The sequence below is a fragment of the Homo sapiens genome, chromosome 7 (genome assembly GCF_000001405.40).
Source record: "Homo sapiens chromosome 7, GRCh38.p14 Primary Assembly".
NCBI lineage: Eukaryota > Metazoa > Chordata > Mammalia > Primates > Hominidae > Homo > Homo sapiens.
In genome coordinates, this window is record NC_000007.14 from 86,821,494 (window position 1) to 86,845,028 (window position 23,535).

The following is a 23,535-nucleotide window of genomic DNA, read 5'->3' on the forward strand; positions in this document are numbered from 1 at the left end:
TGGACTAATCACTTTTAATTTAACATTCACAATAACCCTATGGGTAAACAAGACGCGAAAAATGAAGTGGACAGTACATGGTAAAGCTGAGATTCCAACTCAGGCAGTCAGACTCCAGGGGAAAATGATGCGTGACAGCCCCAGCCTTCAAGGAGCTCGCAGTCTAGACAGGGGACCCAGAGCAAATAAACGATTCCTCGAAGGTGAATCATATTCTGGTGGAGGTGTACAACAAAGGTCCTGAGACCCCAGAAAAGAGATTGTTTATGGTCAAGCATCACTTGTTTACTAGCATTCTTTGTCACCACGCTTCCTTAATTTTTCCCTCTCCTCATTTTTACAAGAAAATCAAATTTAAAAATCGTTCCCTTCATAATTTTCTAATTAGTGGGATTTTTCCCCATCTTCTTTGATATTTGTGAAATAATTACATCTGGCTTAGAGCAACTTTTTTTTTTTTTTGAGAACAGATTTTGTATAAAACATTGTTCAAAGAAGTGAAAATTCAAATAAGTCATCAAGCAGGTTGATCTGCTTCAGGTGGGGACCAGGCTAACTACAACGCTGATTGTGCCTATGTTGAATAACAGCACAGTGGCACCAGATCTTTCTCTCTCTCAAGAGAAAATGACATCTATTTTTTTTTCTTTCAATATTTTACTAAAGCACACTAACGCAGATATTTTGAATATACGGTGCAGGATAAACAAAACAATTCTCAGGATGAATTTCACTTATAGCTCCCAGGTTACAATTTCTGTTTGAAAAATAATAAAGTTCTATTTGTGCCTTTAAGGAGTTTACAATATAGTGATAAGAAGATAGTAATAATAAGATATACAGAAAAAAATATATAATGTGAGAGAAAGATAGTAAATGCCAGAGAAATGGAATGCGGGATCATGGTTAGCAATTTCAGCTGAGATACAAGGGCAAGCAGAAGCAATATTTGTGCTGGCCTTGAAGGATGTGAGTGATTTTACAGGTGGTACAGAGAAGAAAGGGCATATAAAGCAGAGAACAAGATGAAAAAAAGCACAAGTGGAAAAAAATGCATGTTGCATGTGAGCAAAGAGGAAGGGAGCACTTAGGTTCTGTCATGGATTGCAAAGGGATAGAGCGAGAGATATGAATGGTGAATGGGAAGTGGGCCAGATTGTGTGGGACTGTGAAATTCATACTTTGTGATACTTTATTATGTAGGATGTAGTTCCATGATACACCAATATAGTACATGTTAGATATCTTTTTTAAAAGTAAATCAATTAAAATAAAATTTGATAGTCCAAAAATTGGGAAAGGCTACATACCATATCAATCTCTGGATGATCCTCAAAGCTGACTCACAAAGTAGATTGTCTAAGAACTAACCCCTATTCAGTAACGAAGTTACTGTTTAGCTTTGTTAATCCAGCTTGTTATATTGCATAATTTTTGTCTTTTCTTAGAATATTGATTTTTATCCTAAGAACAGAAATTTCAGCTAACATCACTAAATGCAACAGGAGAGCCACTGAGACCTTCATGCAATGAAGTGATGGGATGCTGGTAGCTGTGGTACCTTAGACGTTTTTAGAGAATTGTGAACCAGAAAAGAAGGGGACAGACTAGGAACAGAAAATCAGCTGCAAGGCTATCACAATAGCCCATAGAAATAATAATGGCTTCCTATTACACAGCCCTGCCAATATGCTGGACATATTTGAGGTGCTGTTCATGTTGTATATGTTTTGTAATGAGAACCAAAATTGGGATAATAGCAGCAATCAATATCTAGTTGAGAGGCAAAGATGGACAAGCCAGCATCCACCATCCCCATTCTCAGCATCCCAGATTCATCTCCTTTTTTTTTCCTCTTCTCTGTTTTCTACTACCCCTGCTTTTCTTTTGTTGAGTCCCAGTATATATGCCCTACAACTCCAATTTAAAAGAAAACAAACTTGAAATTTGAATGCTGCCACTAAATCACTTTTCAATTATTTGTGCTCTCTGCCCTTTTCAATTATAGTGCAGTGCTCTCTGCCCTTTTCTAAAAAGAAATGTTATTAGCTAGAACTAACAGAAATTCAGCGGTTAGCTGTGTGAGGTATTTTTTTTTTTTTTTTTTTTTTTGGCGGGGGGGGATTAGTGCATGCTGGGGGCTGTGGGATAGGATTTAGTGCCCAAATCCTACTTTCTCCTTTTCTTTTCCCGGGTTCTAAACATGTAAGGATCAATAGCCAAGCAGAAACAAATTTCAATTCTTGTTAACAACTGAGCTAGTGCCTGATCTTTCCCACCACCCTCCCTTAAAAAGACTTCTCTGATATGACAGCTAGATCCCTAGTGTAGGCCAGGAGCCAAGAAAGCTTTGGTTTCCCACAATCTGTGACTAAATGTCTGCATCCTTAGAGCAGATTTCAAGCCTACTTACCCAGGTGTCCTTATGTATGAGCAGTGAATGGCAGATCTTCCTTCCCCACCTGTTGCAGTGGGGAGAGAGAGCCTGGAGCAGGGGCAGAGCTGCTGAGGCAAGACCCACTCAGTCTGTATAGCCTAGAGACTGGAAGTGCAAAGGAGCGCATGAAGACGACCAAGGCCAGTTCTGAGAAGCTAGTTCCTCTGTCAGTCAGCCAGTGAAGGTAGAACTCCTGCCTTATCTTTTAATAGCTATGATTCTGCCCATTAGGGAGGAAGGTTCAGAGAATGTTAGATTCACCAGTCAGACCTGCTGCTTCTCTGAGGGGAAGGAAAATAAGATGGTGGGAAAAGAAGGAAGTTAGGAAGCAAAAGTTCCCTTTTCATGGGACTGAGGCTAAAACTTGATCTAAGAACAAAAGTATTCCTACTTCTTCAAAGTATATCATTTTAGGAAAGCAAGACAAAGCTCCTGTCCAAAATTCTTTCTGCACTGAGATATCAGATCCCATCATCAATAGTTTATTTGTGATGACATTTGATATTGTCCTTTGACTATGATATCTTTTAATATGACTGTTCCTGAGGGGGGTAACATATACAGTATGTAGTACTTGGATGAGAATTTGTTTTGCTTGGGGCTACAAGAGAGGAGTGGGTTTCAGGAACAAGAAGGTAGGCTAAGAAAAAAAGAAAGTGGAAGAGCCTTAAAGATAACTGTGTCTGCTTCATAATTACACACCTAGTTGGATATGTGATTACCATAATTCTCACATGTACTACTAACTTTCTCCATCTATTTCAAGGATGACTGTGGGTGAAGTTTTGGATGTTAACAATGCCCCATCTCCTGGTTTTTCAGTAAAAATATATGAGAAATGTGGAAATTTATGCAACAAATTTATATATATATGTGTGTGTGTGCACATATATATACAGATAGATAGATAGATACACCCATAAGGTATTATGTTAGGGTACTATAACCAAGTCAATTTTATCTATCTTATTAATTGAGCACAGTTGGAAGAATAGTGAGACTCAAATGATTTCTGGGGTTGATCAATTTCCAGGGAGATTTTCTAAAAAGGGACAAAATAACCAGTTTATCATAACCTTAACAACATTATTTTCAGGTTAGTTCAAAATAGAAATTATGGGACAGAGGAGAAAATTTTTATTCTTTTCATTTTTTTGAATTTCATCCTCACCCTCCTCCTGCCCTCCACCTTCTAGTATACCCTGGTGTCTCTTGTTCCCCTCTTTGTGTCCATGTGTACTCAATGTTTAGCTCCCGCTTATAAGTGAGAACACATGGTGTTTGGTTTATTCTAAGTGAATTAACCCTTACGTTAAAAGGGAGAAAAAGAGGAGAACATTTTTTAAATCATAACTTCTTAAATTTTATTTTGTCACCTCAATTATTTCCAGGGGAATAGAAACCCTTTCAGGATGATGTAGCTTTGGAATTTCTTAACGACGTGTGGATATGCTTGAAGATTTGACAAGTTCACTTGAAATCTTGTGGTTCAATAAGGCAGCCTTTTCTGTGGAGACAGAAGACTAAGCTATGCTACAGTGGCTTAGGAGACACATGACAACTTAACAATAGACCAGCACGCTGGCAGGAGAAGTCATTTATTTTACCTTGTATTCTCTTTACGTGATAGTACACAGAAAGTCAAATGCATGTCCATGCATTCATAAAACAACAAAATAGAAATTAATTTGCCTTACCCATGGAAATTTCAGTTACTGCATGCTTAGCTGCTGTGCTTGTCTTCGGAAAGTTCATCCTTGAAGGCTGAATAAAATTTTCCTGTTCTGCTTCTTTATATAAAGAAGTCTATGGTTTGCTTAAACATGGGAAAGCTCGTTTTATTAAGTATCCTTGATACTGTGATTGCATTCTTCAGAATATTAGCTCTGCTACCAATTTTCAAATACTTTTTAATAGTTTGCACGGTTGGCTTCTGAGAGCATCTCTGAATGGGATTTTCCCAGCTATTTTCACACCTTATGTCCATATCACATTTCACTCTTCTGCAGCACTTAGATCTTCAGCACAGCAGGTGGAAAAGTGATTTAAGGACAGAACAATGGGATGTTTATGCCTTTTTAAAAAAGTCATGGATATGCATTTCTAGCCAACTTTGTTTGGGGAAAGCCTTTTTGCCCCTTTTTAAGACATTTTAAAATCTTTGCTGTACTATATGACAGTCACATTAAAAAACAAGAACAGATTAAATTGGTCATCAGAATTCACAATTTATCTTCACAAAATCGGAAAATTTTGGAGACTGTTGCAAAGTCACATAGTATTCTTGGGCGCTCCGGTTTGTGCTGGGGATAGAAATTAAATGGGAGAAAATTTGCATTCAGACCCCACTTAACTCTCACTAATAACAGACATTCTTGCTTGTGAGTTAGCTCTAGAAGACTATATATCTCCTGCTCCTGCTGCAGACAAGAATTTGCTTCTTTCCTAAGAGCTGATTGAAGAGGAGATGTGCAGCTGGCTGACTGGTTTCTTAAAAGGGGAGAAAAGGAGACTGTGAAAATCTGTGTGTAATGGGCCTGTAGTGACTGTTGGGGTAAGGTGGGAGGAATGAAACATAATTGAAACGGCTGATGAACGGGGAAAGGAGAGGACTCCACATATTCAAGGAAGTGTATAAGCTGGAAATGACTATAGTGAGAAAACAAGACTAGGTAATAGTAACCTTAATATGGTGACACCATAAGGAATTTATCAGGCATAGATATTTTCCATTTTCATAAAGGGTTGAGCTTTTCAAAATATATGTAGAAATACAAATATTTATTACCCTAGACCAAGGTTTCTCAACTTCAGCACTATTGACATTTTGGGCCAGGTATGTATTTGTTCTGAAGGTGTGTCTTGCATATTATGGGATGTTCAGCAACATCCCTGGCCTCACCTGCTAGAGGCTGCAATTCCCCCGCCCCCTTGGCTACATAATAATATATGCAAGTGTCAAGGCCCTTAAGATTCACATTTAATTGGCCGGTATTATGACTCAGGCATTAGCATGATTTTTAAGTTCCTGAGATGATTCTAATAAGTCTAATTGTTTAGGAAACAATGTGTCCAGTGTTCCTTAATGAGAGTACAAAGTTGAATGAGAAATCATCCCTGTTCTGGAGAGGCTTAGGAATAGCAAAGAGATGGGCACACACTGAATATTTTTCCAACATATTATAGTCCATTTCCTTAAGGTCAAACGCACAATACACTATGTCAGCACAAAAGGAGAGCTGATACCTTAAAGATACAATATTCTTCTGAAATGTTTTTCAGTACCTGAAATCCTCACATTTTAGAATTATATATTTGTAATCTTGAAATAGGTAAAGATTTCTTAAACAGAATGCTGAAAGTCTTAGCCATAAAGTAAATAATTCATAAATTGGAAATTGGCATTAAAATTAAGAATTTAGGGGCATTAAAACTAAAGACTGTACTGGGCATTAAATTTTAGAATTTATGTTTATTGGACAAAACTAAGAAGCAGGTGAAAAGGTAAGCCACAGAGTAGATATTCACAACACATATATCTGAAAAGTAGTCATATCTGGAAAATATAAAAAACTCATATAAATCACTTTTTTTTTTTTTGAGACAGAGTTTTGCTCTTGTCCCCCAGGCTGGAGTGCAATGGCCCTATCTCGGCTCATTGCAACCTCTGCCTCCCGCATTCAAGCGATTCTCCTGCCCCAGCCTCCCGAGTAGCTGTTATTACAGGCGCCCACCACCATGGCCAGCTAATTTTAGTATTTTTAGTAGAGAAGAAGTTTCACTATGTTGGCCAGGCTGGTCTCAAACTCCTGACCTCAGGCGATCCACCTCCCAAAGTGCTGGGATTACAGGCATGAGCCACCACGCCCACTGTCAAATTTTTAAAAGAGAGAAAAATCCAGGCCGGTGCGGTGGCTCACACCTGTAACCCCAGCACTTTGGGAGGCCAAGGCGGGCGGAACACAAGGTCAGGAGATGGAGACCATCCTGGCTAACACGGTGAAACCCTGTCTCTACTAAAAATACAAAAAATTAGCTGGGCGTGGTGGCAGGCACCTGTAGTCCCAGGTACTCGGGAGGCTGAGGCGGGAGAATGGTGTGAACCCGGGAGGCAGAGCTTGCAGTGAGCCGAGATCGTGCCACTGCACTACAGCCTGGGCGACTGAGCAGAACTCCGTATCAAAAAAAAAAAAAAAAAAAAAAAAAATCCAATACAAGTGGACTGGAAAAGGTACTTTATAAAAGGGTATTTATAGACATTTGATTGACTTATGAAAAGGTGCTCAATATTATTAGGCATTGGGGAATGCAAATTAACTACCAAAAAAATCACAACGAGATACCGGTACATTTTCACTCAAATATCTAAAATTAAATGACATCATTATGAAGCATATGAAGCAACTGAAACTCACATACAATTTACTATTATATACAAATACATACACACTATATACACACTTTTGCACATACACATATAGGCATATTTCAGAAATATTTTACATTCAGTTCTAGGCCATTGCAATAAAGCAAAATTCACGATAAAGCAAGTTACATAAGTTTTTTGGTTTCCAGTGCATATAAAAGTTATATTTACACTATACTGTAGTTTATTAAGTGTACAGTAGCATTATGTATTAAAAACAATGTATATACCTTAATTTAACAATACTTTATTGCTAAAAAATGCTAACAATCATCCCAGCCTTTAGCAAGCCATACTCTTTTTGCTGATTGACGGTCTTGCCTCAGTGTTGATGGCTGCTGACTGATTAGGGTGGTGGTTGCTGAAGACTGAGGTGACTGTGGCAGTTTCTGAAAATAAGAAAACAAGGAAGTTTGCCACAATAATTGAATCTTCCTTTCACAAGATTTCTCTGTAGCGTGTGATGCTGTTTGACAGCATTTTACCCACAATAGAACTTTCAAAATTGGAGTCAGTTCTCTCAAATCCTGCCACTGCTTTATCAACTAAGTTTATGTAATATTCTAAATCCTCTCTTGTCATTTCAACAACGTTCACGGCTTCTTCACCAGGTGTGGATTCTATCTCATGAAACCACTTTCTTTGCTCATCCATAAAAAGCAACCCCTCATCTGTTTTAGTTTGATCATTTAGTTTGCAGCAATTCAGCCACATCTTCAGGCTCCACTTCTAATTCTGGTTCTCTTGCCATTTCCACCTCATCTGCAGTGACTTCCTCCACTGAAGTCTTGAGCCCTTCAAAGTCTCATGAACCATCCTCTCCTAGCTTTTTCTTCTGCAATTCCTCAGCTTTCTCAGACTTCAAATAATTGAAGATAATTAGGACCTTGAGCTGGATTAGGCTTTGGTTTAAGGGAATCTTGCGTCTGATTTGATGTTCTATCCAGACAAGTAAAACTTTCTCCATATCAGCAATAAGACTCTTTCACTTTCTTACCATTTGTGTGCTTGCTGGAGTTGTGCTTTTAATTTCCTTCAAGAACTTTTCTTTTGCATTCACAACTTGCTTAACTGGTGCAAGAGGGCTAGTTTTGAGCTTATCTCAGCTTTCAACATGCCTTCCTAAGCTTAATCGTCTCTAGCTTTTGACTTTAAGTGATTCTTTCTTTCACTTGAACACTTATAGACCATCATAAGGTCATTAATTGGCCTAATGTAAATATTGTTGTGTCTCAGGGAATAGGAGGCCTGAGGTGATGGAGAGAGATAGGGGAATGGCCAGTCAGTGAAGCAATCAGAATCAGCAATCACAACATTTATTAAGATCACCATCTGACCTGGGTACAGTTTGCGGCACCTGAAAACATTTATAATAATAGCATCAAAGATCACTGATCACAGATCACTATTACAGATATAATAATAATGAAAAAGTTGAAATATTGCAAGAGGAGTTGCCAGAAAGTGACACAGACACATGAAGTGAGAGCATGCTGTTGGAAAAATGGTACTGATAGACTTGTTCGATGCAGGGTTGCTACAAACTTCCAATTTGTAAAACAAAACAAAAAAGGAATATCTGTGAAGCACAATAAAGCAAAGTACAATAAAATGAGCTATGCTTATATATGTATATCCCAAAATTTATATACAAGAGTCTTCAAGGTAGCATGTAGAAAATGCTGTCAGTGCCTCACTTGTATCTTCTTACCACTCACTATTCTCAGACATGCCAATGGCTTCTCAATAGAAGTATCTGTGACTCTCTGCCAGAGAGCTTTGTCTGGTCAGACAGCCTCTACCTATAGAGAACATACCAAAAATGCCATGAAGTTACCACTCTACCATAAACCAATGACAAATGAGAGTTGTCCCATCCAAGCTGATGAGTAAGCTGGGGTTTTATGTCCCAATTTCCACTCCACTGTCTCCCACAAGGCCCCAGTGAGGCTGAGACCCACTTGCCCTCAGCAGTAACTTGGTCACTGACACATCCTGTATTGGATTCATTCCTGTTTGTCTTATTTCTCCATTGCCCTATAACCTCCCAAATCAACTACGTGAATTCAAATTTAGTCTTGGGGTTTGCTTCTAGGATAACCCAGCTAAAGATAGAACATTGTTTATATAAGTTAAAAATTGAAAGAAAATTTTTTTAAAAATGTCCATCAACAAAAGAATGGATAAATTGTGGCACATCATATGATAAAATACTATGCATCAATAAAAATAAACTAGAGCTCCTCATCACTACATGATGAATGAATTTCATAAAGCTTAATTTTGAACAAAAGATGTTAGATACAAAATAATACATACTTACATTAATATAAAGTTCAATATCAGGCAAAATAGTCTGTGGTTGTTATGAGTTGAATTGTGTTCCCCAAAAAGAGATATTTTGAAGTCATAACCCTAGTATCTCACAATATGACCTTATTTGGAAATAGTGCTTATACAGGTAACCAAGTTAAAATAAGGTCATTAGGGTGGGCCCCAGTCCAATATGGCTGGTGTTCTTACAAAAAGGGAAAATATAAACACAGAGACACAAGGAGAACACTGTGTGAATGTGGAAGATCAGAGTAATGCATTAACAAGCCAAGGAACACCGAAGATTGCCGGCATACCACCAGGAGCTAAGAGAGAGGCATGGGAGAGATTCTCCCTCACAGTCCTCAGAAGAAACAAACCTTGCTGACACCTTGATTTCAGGCAGACCATGAGACAATAAACTTCTGTCATCTCAAGCCACTCAGTTTGTGGTACTTCGTTATGGCAGCCCTAATACACTAATACAATGGTTGTAGAAAGTAAGATAGTGATTGCCTTTGGGGCTGAGGAAGGGTGGAATGATAGGGACGGGAACAAGGGAACTGGTAATGCTCTGTTTCTTAACAGTCACAGTGTTACATGTGTGTGTTCACTTCATGATAACCCACTTTTTCAAAATGCTTTTTTTTGTATGCATTAAAACTCAATGAAAATTTTTACAAATCTAAACACTTATTAGAGCAGATGAGAAAAAAGCAGTACACTGTGTAATGAAGAGGGCAAGAGTTGGGGAAAAGAAGGTAGGAAAAAAATGTGATAGTATCTGTAGTTCACATTAAAGAAGGTCCCTAAGCAAAGATTCAATGACCACTATGGACTTTCAGCTCAAATAAATCAGGTTAGCCCTGTCCCCTGAATTGCGGGTAGGAGGATTGGAATCTCCATAATTTCCACTCATTTCTATTTTCCCTATGCCCCTACCTCCCCATTCTTCCTTCTTAGTCTGAGAGTAGATTGTTTCTGAGTTGCCTAGAGTATTGACAATTTCAACAATAATACGTAGAATCTAGATAGAAAAACCAGTAAAATTTATAATGAAGACTAACCATGGTAACATTTCAAGGGAACTGAAGAGAGTCCTCTTCAAAAGTCATAGCACCGTTAAAAAAAAAAAAAAAAAAAAAGCTATTTTAGTATCTTTTCTCAAACATTCACTTTCTCTGTGGCATGTTACGTATTTACTGAGTGTTTTCCACACGTAAGACTGAGTACTGAAGACATCTAAGTGGTGCTTTGTCCCAGCTGTTATACTCAGCTGATGACTGTGAGAAAGGCTTCAGTGATTTTGTTCCTAATCAGTAAGTAAACTAATTACTGACAGCCAGTGATTCATTCTTATTCTTTCCTATCTTCTTGCTGCATGAGGTTCGTAAAATATTTTGTTTGCTCTAACCAAAGGATTTTGGTTTCTTTACCTCTTGACTTCTAACATAGTCTTTCCAGGGAGATGACACTGTCTTTCACCTATATCTTAATTCTGATTCATCAGATTAGTTCACAGAAACATTAATGAGGCCCTGGTTGTAAAATTGGAGCCATGTTCCTGCTTGTAGCCTTTTTTTTTTTTTTTTTTTTTTGAGTTGGAGTTTCACTCTTGTTGCCCAGGCTGGAGTGCAATGGCGCGATCTCAGCTCACTGCAACCCCTGCCTCCCGGGTTCAAGCGATTCTTCTGCCTCAGCCTCCCAAGGAGCTGGGACTACAGGTGTGCCACCACATCCAGGTAATGTTTTGTATTTTTAGTAGAGACAGGGGCTTCACCATTTTGTCCAGGCTGGTCTTGAACTCCTGACCTCAGATGATCCGCCTGTCTCAGCCTCCCAAAATGCTGGGATTACAGGAGTCAGCCACTGCGCCCGGCCACTGCTAGTAGCTTTTGCAATCTTTATCAGTGTTTATGAATGCGAACCCAAGCAGTGGAGGTAATATTCCCTTTACTGAAGGCCTAAGAGCCACACTATTCTCTTACCTTAATTGGACTTCTGTCTGAGAAGAAAAAAATAATGAATTTAATCTCTCCTGCCATTGACTTATGATATCTTTAAGGTATAGACTTGCTGCCTCTCTACCAAATGATTCCTAGGAGGACTGGTCACCTTGGTATTCAAGCCAAGTTCCCATTCGAAACTGGGGTCAGAACTAATTGGATAATAAGCTAACCCGAGAAATGATTCTCCTGACCCAAAGCCACATCCGACTCCTTCTGAAAGTGAAGACCTGATTTTGAAGCACCCGAGTGATGAGGAGCTTGAAATTAGAGTTTGGAGAAGGTTGTAAGTCTTTTATAAAAAATTCTTCCATCTTCCTGGTTGTTCTTTTTCTTCCCCTTCTAGTTTGGTTTCTTTCATGCTGTTGCAACACCAGTGAAAGGTGAAGTGATGTATTTTTCCATTTCTGATGATGCTTACTCCCATGGTGAGACTTAACTTGAGAAACAGCAAATTCCCTGGAGTTTCTTCACGCCAAAGAACTATGCATATTCTCACTCACAGGTGGGAATTGAACAATGAGAACACATGGACACAGGAAGGGGAACATCACACTCTGGGGACTGTTGTGGGGTGGGGGGAGGGGGGAGGGATAGCACTGGGAGATATACCTAATGCTAGATGACGTGTTAGTGGGTGCAGCGCACCAGCATGGCACGTGTATACATATGTAACTAACCTGCACATTGTGCACATGTACCCTAAAACTTAAAGTATGATAATAATAATAATAATAATAAAGAAAAAAAAGAACTATACAACTGATTGTTGGAGAATCATGGTTTCAGTTCACAGGGTTCTATTTTCCTAGTGAGTCATTTGACTTAGAGGCAACTCTAAATGCACCAGGAAGGCAACAGGATCAATACACTAGGGCTTCAAGCTCTCTGCCACTTGAAGCCACTCCAGCAGCACCTAAGAGCTTGCTTTTCTTACTTGCTTCCTCATTACCCAGGTCAATATTGCCATTGCGTTCGAAATAACCGTTCAAGGACAGGATTTTTTCTCACATGTGGAATATTTGACATATGTGGTTCACCTTTTTCTTCTTGGTTCTTATTTCATTCTTTCCCATTCTAGTACAGACAGAGCAACCTAAGGATCTTTATTACAAGCTAAGGAGCAGAGCATTTCTTCTCAAAATGGCTTTTTTTTGTTTAGAATTTGTAATGTATGCATTTGAAGTAATTTGTTTTATGTATTTGAAGGATGTAGAAACTAGACTGAATTTTGTTACATATTTTACACATTAACAAAACAAATTTAGTAAAAGGTAAATGTATTAAAAAATAACATTCCACCAAAAGTAGCATTTGTTTATTCACCACCCACTTTTCAAGCAGTTGTTCCAATATTTGTAGCAGCATTATTTTTGTAATTTATTTACTTTAAAGCTACTCTGCCTGACCTTGCTTAATTATCTTTATACTATTTTAACTTTATAATTTCTTTTTTATCAAAATAATACATGTACATAGTTTTTACAGGAATATAAACACACTTATAAGAAATCAGAAAAGTTTCTTGCTTCATCCTTCCCCAAGCTAAGTCTACTCTTCACTGGTGTTCACTTTGCCTTTCAATAATGTTTACTCTCCATTTTCTCTTTCTGGAACTCTTGTTGGTTACATGTTGAAATTCCACAGAGTAATTCTTTTCCTGTTGTATTTTCTACTTGCCATCACAGCATTTTGGTCAAACTTTGAGATTTTTCTCAAATTTATCTTTCAGTCTTTATGTTAATTCTATTTCTGCTATTTGCCTTCCAAAAGCTCATTCTTGTTCCCTGAATATTCATTTTAAGGATATCTTGTGCCTACCTCATGGATGCAATATCTTCACTTATCTCTCTTGAGCATATTGTTTTGAAGACTTTGACTTCACATCCTGCACTGCTCTGCTTTCTCCATTTTTTTTTTTTTTTATTTTCTGGTTGTTTTAGTCTCTTTCAATCAGTTTTATTGTTTGTTAAGTACACTAATTTTAAGAACTTTATATTCAAAAATTGCTATGAGAACAGTGAATTATTTAAAGATATAAAACATATTACTTTAGAAGTGCTTACCAGAAATTATCTAATAACATCAACTGAACATTGGTAGAGGTTGGGTGCATACTTGATAATAATGAAATTAATAACACAGTAAGAACCTGAGGGTTCTTATTCTTACATCTGATATCAAATGAGTTAAAATATTCAATATTTTTCTTATTTGTAACATGAAAGGAGTTCCTAAAATTCTTAATGAACTTTCTCTAATCATAGAATAAACAAATTTAGTTTTATGTGACATAAGAATTCTGATATTGATTACTATACCTGAAAATATAGTAATAATGTTTCAACTCCTGTGTTCACTTGTCCTAACCAATACTAAAATTTAGTATAATACTGTGGTAGTTATAAAATGACCATACAACTGTGGAAAGAGACCAAGAGAAACAAGAAATGGTATAAAAATTTGGGTATCAGGGGATTTAATATATGACAAGTATTATAAATCAGTGGAAAATTATTAACTTAGTACTTTATAATTTTCACTTATAAATTATTGTATGGTAATATACATTTTAAAAGGTGTACGATATTTTATTATTTAGTATTTAAATTGTTAGCCATTTGAGAAAAAAAATGAATTGAAATCCTAACTCATACTTTAAAGTAAATTTGAAGTGCATTAAATTTTTGAATATAAAAAGGAAAGCCATAAAAGTAGTAGAAAAAGGTTTAGATAAATATTTTAATAATCTTGGAGTAGGAAAGGATTTTTTGGACTGATAAGTAAACTAGTAGTTATAAGAAAGAGATGGATAGAATCAGTTACCTAAGGTTTTAGCAATCTGTTTGGGAAAAAGCACAAAGTTAGAAGAATCTTTCCAACATATATATATACATATATGACAAGCATTTAATATGTTCAGTTTATATACAGCTCTTACTTTTTTAATTTTGAGATGGGATCTCACTCTGTCACTCAGGTTGGAGTACAGTGACACAATCTTGGCTCACTGCAACCTCTGCCTCCCAGACTTAAGTGATCCTCCCACCTCAGCCTCCTGAGTAGCTGGGAACACAGGCATGTGCCACTACACCCTGCTAACTTTTTGTATTTTTGGTAGAGATGAGGTTTCATCACATTGCCCAGGCTGGTCCTGAACTCCTGAGCTCAAGCGATCCACCTACCTCAGCCTCCCAAAATGCTGGGATAACAGATATGAGCCATCACACCTGGCCTACATATTAATTTTTAAAAACATATAAACATCCCAAAAGAAAACAAGCGAAAAATGTGTGAACCAGAAATTCACAAAATAAATACATATAATTTTTAAAAATATTAAGATACAACCAGACCCTCTAAAAGTCAAAGAAATAAATACAGATTAAAATAAGATGTGTTTCCTGTCAGTTTGTCAATTATTAAAAAGATAAAAATACCCAAGGTTAGTAAGATTGTGGAGAATGGACATTCCCATACAATGTTCATGGGAGTATTAGTTGGTAAAACAAAACCAAACAACAAACAAAAAACAGCTTTCCTTGGCAAGCCAGTAATCTGTAGCTAAATTTTTAAAGAACCTACGCTTTGACCCAACAGTTTTTCTTCTATGAATTTGCTCTAAGTAAATAACTAGATAATGAGGTTTATAAAGGGAAAACCTTAGAAACAACATAAATGTTAAAACTATAAGAATATTTAAGTAGCTTGGTACTTAGCTACAAGATAATAGTATACAGCTATTGAAAATAAAGATAATTTATTAAAAGATTAATTTTTTAAAAAATTCTCAATATTTCACTAAGTAAAAATATACATTACAAAACAATAGCTAAGTATAATCATGCCTACTAATGGAAGTGTGGGGAAAAGGATGGAGGAGCAGGCTCTGAATTGGGTCAGAAGTGAGGTTTGGATAAAGCAGTAGGTAGAATTGAATAACATCTCCCTCCTCCCATCTTCTCCCTCCCTGTCCCTCAGTAGTTCTCACTTTTATGAGCAGCTTTCCTTTTTCATGAAGTTCTTTTTATTACTTTTATTATCATTATCACTAACACATATGTTAAGTGCTTACTGTGTGGCAGGCATTGTGCTTAACATGTTATATGATTTATCTCATCAAATCGTCAAAAGAACTCTTATTCCCAATTTGCAAATTAGGAAACAGAGTCAGAAAGGTCCTTGCTGAAGGACACACAATTATTAAAAGACAGAAACGAGAATCACACAAAGTCCATCTAACCCCAAAACTACACACTCAACTACTACATCACCCTGTGTTACAATGAACTTGAAACCAATTCACAACTGGAGTACAGACACAAAGAGATATATGTGATGGGTTTGTGAAGTGTGGTAGAAAGGAGGTGGAGGTTGGTAAAGTCAAATTGTAGGGTGAGATAACAAGAACACTACAAAGAAACAAATAACAATAAGTGAATAATAAATTGGGCATATAATATTTATAATAGAACTTGATTCTGGTATGAGGTTTTATTATAAACTACCCAGCCCAGCCCTCTAGGGGCACCTATATCCTTTAGACAAGAGAGGGCTATTTTGTAAAATATAAAGTCCTCTTTTTACCAAGAGCCCAAGTAATTCATTGAAGGATCCTTTTAGCCCATACAATAACTGGATCCAGTTTTCCCTAAACAGTGTTTCCTGGACAGCGTTTCCCTGTAAGTTAGAGCAGCCTGAGCCTCAGAGAAGGTGGAATGAAGCTCGCAGGGGAGGCAACAAAGACAGCCAATACTCACAGGGTCAGACACTGCAGCGTCCTCTAAATTCCAATCTCTTTCCATAGTATGGAAGTAGCTGAGCACATTAGCTAAGCTACATTTTTACAGCCTCTTTTAAGGTTGAGTGTGTCCCTGTGACTAATTTCTAATCAATGAAGTATGAATGGAAATATGTGCCATATTTATACTATCTGCTTCTGCTGGGTGGATGCTGATGAAGAGGAGGGCCTAGGCAGGGGCACAGCTTCACTAAGCAGTGGCACAGCTTCAAGATGGAAGGAATCTGGGGTTTTGAATCACAATGTGAAGGACAGACACCCAGCAACCAAAATCTTAGACTGCTACATGAGGGAGAAATAAACAATTTGGGGTCTATTTACCAACACAGGCAAGCCTACCATGAGTAACAGAGTTTCTCTATGTGTCACATAGGTATCAGCAACATTTGTCTTCTAATTCTAAGAAAAGAGTAAAGATTGGCAGTGAAATAGAAGCACACAGTAGTAGAACAGAGTACGTGGCATAGAAATGGGTGATCAGAGGGGTGGTGTATGTTGGCAAGACAAACATGATGAGCAGCAGCTGGAAGAGAGGAAGCATGTATGCTCAGAGCTTCTGCTCTTAGGGACTTGCAGAATCCTGTAAAAAAGAGACAGGGTTGAGGGTGGCCCACTTGGCTGAGTGCTACTGACCCTGTTCACTTAGGAAATTTCAAAGTCTACTTACGTAGATTCTACATACAGCTAGGTTGTATGTATTTGTGTGAATATGAGCATGCTGTATATAGACACAGGCATATATGTAGTCAGAATTAATGTCAATATTAAATTTAATATCCAAAATATTAAACTATCAGAGTTGAAGTATGATAGGTAGTTTAATTTTTTTCTTTCTGAATCATCTGAACTATTGAAAAGAATCATATCATGCATCTGTAATGCAAAAAATGTTCTTTATTTTGAAGCAGAAAAATTCTTCCTGTTTTATATTTTCATGAAAATATTTAAGATGGGAAACATTTTATTGGCTGTACATAAATAAATACGTAATAAGAATGAGACACAATGTTTTGTCCAATTCTTATCATGAAGTCTTTCAAGAAGGGAATACATGCCCATCATAAAACATATGACTACATGTTTGTAAATCCCCCATTACATAATAAGCATTGTATTGTATTCATGATTATCACCGGTACTTGGCACCCTTTGATACTCAGTAATGGTAAGTGAATGAATGTATAAATGCATGAGCACTTTAGTAGCTTTTGAAGTGTAACTTTCAATGGTAACTGATAAATTATTTCAGCCTTGGAATCACCATTTCCTGTTATTTCAGTGTATGGCATAAAGTAATTGACTAATCACACGTAAGACACCTAAACAAGTGTTCTTTTTTTTCTTTCACTTTACATATCACAGCTCCATTCAACCCAAATAAAGATGCAGATAGCATAGTCAAGTTTGACACTTTTGGAGATGGAATGGGGCGATACAACGTGTTCAATTTCCAAAATGTAGGTGGAAAGTATTCCTACTTGAAAGTTGGTCACTGGGCAGAAACCTTATCGCTAGATGTCAACTCTATCCACTGGTCCCGGAACTCAGTCCCCACTTCCCAGTGCAGCGACCCCTGTGCCCCCAATGAAATGAAGAATATGCAACCAGGGGATGTCTGCTGCTGGATTTGCATCCCCTGTGAACCCTACGAATACCTGGCTGATGAGTTTACCTGTATGGATTGTGGGTCTGGACAGTGGCCCACTGCAGACCTAACTGGATGCTATGACCTTCCTGAGGACTACATCAGGTGGGAAGACGCCTGGGCCATTGGCCCAGTCACCATTGCCTGTCTGGGTTTTATGTGTACATGCATGGTTGTAACTGTTTTTATCAAGCACAACAACACACCCTTGGTCAAAGCATCGGGCCGAGAACTCTGCTACATCTTATTGTTTGGGGTTGGCCTGTCATACTGCATGACATTCTTCTTCATTGCCAAGCCATCACCAGTCATCTGTGCATTGCGCCGACTCGGGCTGGGGAGTTCCTTCGCTATCTGTTACTCAGCCCTGCTGACCAAGACAAACTGCATTGCCCGCATCTTCGATGGGGTCAAGAATGGCGCTCAGAGGCCAAAATTCATCAGCCCCAGTTCTCAGGTTTTCATCTGCCTGGGTCTGATCCTGGTGCAAATTGTGATGGTGTCTGTGTGGCTCATCCTGGAGGCCCCAGGCACCAGGAGGTATACCCTTGCAGAGAAGCGGGAAACAGTCATCCTAAAATGCAATGTCAAAGATTCCAGCATGTTGATCTCTCTTACCTACGATGTGATCCTGGTGATCTTATGCACTGTGTACGCCTTCAAAACGCGGAAGTGCCCAGAAAATTTCAACGAAGCTAAGTTCATAGGTTTTACCATGTACACCACGTGCATCATCTGGTTGGCCTTCCTCCCTATATTTTATGTGACATCAAGTGACTACAGAGTAAGTCTTTGATTGTTTCTTATTTTTCTTGTTCTTTCTCCTCCAGTGTTTCTTGTGTAGTATTTAAAATAGACTCCTTTTATTTCATCTCAACGAGTTGGGTAATTTCAAATGCCATGATGAGCCTGTATATTGTATGTTAAAATTAATTATGTATGTAGATAGCATTTAATTAGTACCTACCACATGCAGAGCACTGTGCTAGGCACAGAGGGGAAGAGAAATATAAATGATACGGTCATTTACCCAATTTATAATCTAGTGGGAGATAAAATGTAATACACGTACACATAATGTTAATTAAACTTAAAAAGCGATTGACAATAGAATAAGACATAAACTAAGAATCTAATTGTGAATCTATTTGAGAATACTTTAAATTAGATATAGGAGGACTCGGCTACCATGGATCAATCTGTAAATTAAAATACACTTGCAATATTAAGCCAGGATAAGTTTAAAGATAGAAACTTTCACTCATGCTTCATTATTTCTCTAAAACAGATTAAAATACAATGTTAATTTGCTATGTCTTTTCTATAGCTTTAGTTATATGTACATATATATTTTTCTTTAACTAGTTAAAAATTTTACTGTACATATCCAGGTAACCTAATTAACATATAATAGGGTATTAGTAATATACAGTTCAAATTTATGGGCTCCCTTATAATTACCATCTCTTTTGAAAGAAACTTCTTCATTCCATTATAATATTCCAAACTGTTAAAATGCTACATAAAATGTAGCATTTTATAATTCTGATTTCAGTATCTTACAATGAGTGAGTATAAGAATGTTTCTCTCTTCAGGTATTTGTTTTTTATTCTCTATGTTTCTTAAATTGTCAGAGATTAAAGTTTTCCAGAAGCATAATGGTTTACTTGCTGCACCATGATTTCACAAAATGAAGTGCCTCCATCAGTTGTAAAAATCCTCAAATCTGCTGTTTACCAGCAATTCCTACATCGCCAAAATCTAGAAAATTGCAGCCCAAAAAGAAGACAGAGTAGATACAAAATTTCAGTTAGATAGGAAGAATAATTCAAGAGGTCTGTTGTATAACATGGTGACTACATTGTATTCTTAAAAATCACTGAGGGTCAATTTCTAAGAGCTTTTAGCATAAAAAATGGTAAGTATGTGAAGTAATGCATATGTTAATTAGCTCTATTTACCCATTCCACAATGTATACATGTTTAAAACATCATGTTGTACATAAATGTATACAATTGTTCTTTGCGAATTAAAATAGATAAATACTTTTGTTAAAAAAAGGCAAATCTGTTTAAAGCTTGGAATCAAGATGTTGGCAAAGTATATTGTATCTATTCGCTGTAAATTATTCACAACTATGTAACTGAAACCTATGGGCTACATTAAGGGATGAACAATAAAGATGAAGAAGGTAAGTTCAATGTTGTGGGGCAAGACTACCTATAAAAATTTTGGAAAATTTTAAAAAGAGGAAACATCAGAGCTGATCGGCAAAGTCAAAGAGTGGAGTATATGAACTACAGGGGAGTTGGAGTGTTAGAATTTGAGGATTAACATGGAGAACTATAGTTAATGTATTGTAATGCCCCATCTCTATCTTTTGTCTTTATATATACATCTAGTCCCATATATCTGTAGGATTTTTTTTTAAGTTTTTAGGAAGCCACTGTTAGCAGACATGATTTGGAGTACTGGGACTGCAAAGTAGTTATAATACTAATTATTTTGTCCTGGACATATGATTTGAAACTCTTCATTCTCAAAAGAGCTGGTTAAAAAAATGACAGAGCAGAAAATACTACTGAGAATAAACATAAATAACATTATAAAAATTTAATTTTATTGAGTGAATTAGCATTTACTTCTAAGACACACAAAAAATGACTTTCTTCTTTACATGATAGCAATAGAGTAGAACAACTGACTGAATGGAATTAGCTGAAGACACCAGAACTTTCACCACATAGAAGAAGTCATAAGGCAAATGAAATGGGACAGAGGTTGTGGAATAGAGTTTTTTAAGGTCCGTGATAATTAAGGTATCCAGTGATGCTAAGATCATTTAAAGTCTCAGAAATAATGCCAATCCTAAGTTTACAAAAGAAATGAGAAAGGTAGACTGAAGCCTCCAATGTAGTGGTTTTCAAATTTGGCTGCATATTGAATCAACTGTGTAGCATTAAAAAAATATTGATACCTGGGACACAGCCTCAGAGATTCTGATTTAATTGGCCTGGCCTGTGGCTTGGGCATCAGGATTTTTCAAAGCTTCCCAGGTAACTCTGATTTGCAGCCAGGATTGAAACCCTCAGCTCTAATAAATCACATGCTCTTCTTATCCCACCAATATGTCTAGTTTTGCCTGTACTGTTTTGAAATAGTTGTCAAAGTTAGAAACTTGAGAAACTTTACATAAATATCCAGATTCTTGGTTTTTCTTAACAAAGTAAAAACGTAAGCCCAAATTCCCATACTCAACAATTAGCTGGACCTGAGTAGTGCTCACCCCTGAAGACAGAGCACTCTTATTCCTGTTGCCCCTATCTCCCACTGATCTCTGAATTCTCACACCTGGTCCCTTTCACTTATGAACTTTCATAGACCCTATAAGCATTTGAACTTGGGAACCTTGCTCTAGAAATTCCAGAACAAGACTGAGATTTAAAATTTCCCAGAGGAAAATCGTGTGGTTCGGACAGAATTAGCAGCAATAATTTAAGAGCAGCTGAAAAAATTTTGAGCATCAGTCAACAAGGTTTATATCTCAGTACTTTGCCACCCATTGTGAGTTATAAATAAACATAAGGCATGATTCCAGTCTTCACAAAGTTTATATCTCAGCTGGAAGAAAGATATTAAACAAGAAAGAATTCAAGAATTATAAACACAGAATAGTTTATAATTAAATTGATGATATAAACTCTAAATACCTGTGGGCTCCATAAGAGTTATATGGGTAACATCATGATCTTTCCAGGATCACTTCTTGAAGATGGGATTTTTACCCCGTAACCTTGGCAGGCAAATGCAACTAAGGTATTTAGAGAATATAGGGAATATTCTGGAGACAGGACAGGAAAGAACCAACCAGAAGGAAGCCATATCAGTCTTACTCAGTTGGAAAATGGGCCGGGGGCAGGGCTGGTTCATTTAGATAATGTTTAAGGGCTTTGAGATCTTAAGTTTGTTTTGTTTTGGTTATTTGCTTGGGCAAAAAAGTGACATGATGAAAGGCAAGAGGGAAACAAACCTTCCTGATCAACTGACTCTGCTAGATGCTTTAAGTACATGAGCTCACTTATCTTCATTTTGATAAAATTTGGAAGTAAATTTTATTATCCATTAGAAAGATGAGTAAACAGAGCATAATGACCTTCCCAGGTGGCACAGTTATGAAATAGTAGTTTTTCTGATTCAAATCCATGCCCTTCATACTGTACCACAGACGCATCCATAATATGAAGGACGGATTTGAAAGGGTAGAGTCTAAATCAAGGAGGACTAATTGAAGCTCTTATAGGAATTCAATACAGAGCAAACAAGGAATTCAGTCAGAAAAAAATTTCAAAGGATTTTTGAGAAACTATCCGAGTCATCTCCTGCTGTATCACAACTAACCATTCTCAGATAGTTTAAGAATCAAACACTGAGTCATTGGGATCTAATACATAGCTTAAATTGTGTAAATAAAAATTCAGCCATGTTTGAGTGGAAAGTTATCCATAAAGGAATTCATTTATAGTAATTACTGAGTGTTTTGTTCATGTCTTCCAAAAAATATTTGAGGACTTATTATAGGCCTTGGAGATACTGTTATCAACATAGGCAAGTCTCTCCTCTTTTGTAACTTACAGTCTAGTGGAGAATGAGGTGAAGATGGAGATGGAGCATAAATAATGAATGAATGAAAATGCAGGCTTATTCAGTAGTGAATGCTGTAATGAGATTTTTAAAAAATCACCTTGAAAAGCGGGTTACTGCAGTTTATCTCAAATTTTAACGTGCATGCAAATCACCTGGGGATCTTGTTGAAATAAAGATTCTGATTCAGTAAGAAAGGATGAGGACCAAGAATCTCGATATCAGCAAGCTCCCAGGAAATGGAGATGCTACTAGACTAAGGACCATACTTGGAGTGTCAAGACTCTAGATTCTTTTGGGGGTTGGAGCAGATGAAACAATTTACCTAGAGTAGGCAGAGTCTTGGGAATTGACTCTAGAATTTTGACAAGGTTCAAATACTTACAAAGAAATTCCTATTTTCCCATGTTGACTATTTTGAAGATTCAAAAATATATATCTCAAATTCTTTAAAAAAATTTGTGTCACCCCTACTTTGCTGGTACCTATTTCATAATATTCCACTGAAGAAAATATTCCACTGAAGGGAGGCAGCCAGACATTGGAATTCTATGTGCTATGCAGATGAAACAGCAAGTTCAAACACTCTTAAACAAAAATATCTTAGAAAAGAAAAGCATATGGCTACAGTTTAATGACTAAATGGAAGAGTGATTTGATATGAGAAATAGGCAGGAGAGTTAAATCATGTAGGACTTTATAAGCCATAGCAAAGAGTTTAGATTTTATTCTATATGGAAAGGAAAATCACTGAAAGATTTTTAAGCAGGGGAGTTTATGATCTCACATTTTAGTAGAAAAAATCAGGCTGCTGTAAAGACTCTATTACTACATGGCAAAAAGGCATAAATGAGGAGACTGGTTAGGAAGTTGAGGTGGGTACTGGGGTCAGAACCATCCCATAGTAGGATGTTAACAATGGAGATGGTTAGAAGTAGAGGTAGAACCTGTCAAGAACTGTGAAAGGTTTTTACCCTGTTGCAATCTACCAGGTTAGCCTGCCACAGTTTCAGAATCCTTGTGTCAGAAGACATGAGACTCCTGATTCAGAAACAAAGAACTTTATTACTCATAGCCATAGCAATAGCCAGAGTATCAACACTTCTGTACATTCCTTGAGTCCTGATTTCTTTTTTTTTTCTTAGATGGAGTTTCGCTCTTGTCACCCAGGCTAGAGGGCAATGGCGTGACCTTGGGTTCAGGCAACCTCTGCCTCCTGGATTCAAGCGATTTTCCTGCCTCAGTCTCCCAAATATCTGGGATT

General features: G+C 37.1%; 1 protein-coding gene across 3 annotated transcripts in view; it reads left to right on the forward strand.

Annotated features, from left to right (window-relative positions):
* Nucleotides 1–23,535, forward strand: part of GRM3 (glutamate metabotropic receptor 3) — a 220,971-nt gene that overhangs the window by 177,585 nt on the left and 19,851 nt on the right. For 2 of the 3 annotated variants that reach the window (NM_000840.3, XM_047420268.1), the window contains one exon: nucleotides 17,346–18,412. The exons of the other annotated variant lie outside the window; for it this stretch is intronic. In NM_000840.3, coding sequence (NP_000831.2) covers nucleotides 17,346–18,412 — 1,067 coding nt within the window. The remainder of the gene's footprint in view (nucleotides 1–17,345; nucleotides 18,413–23,535) is intronic. 3 annotated transcript variants of the gene reach the window in all.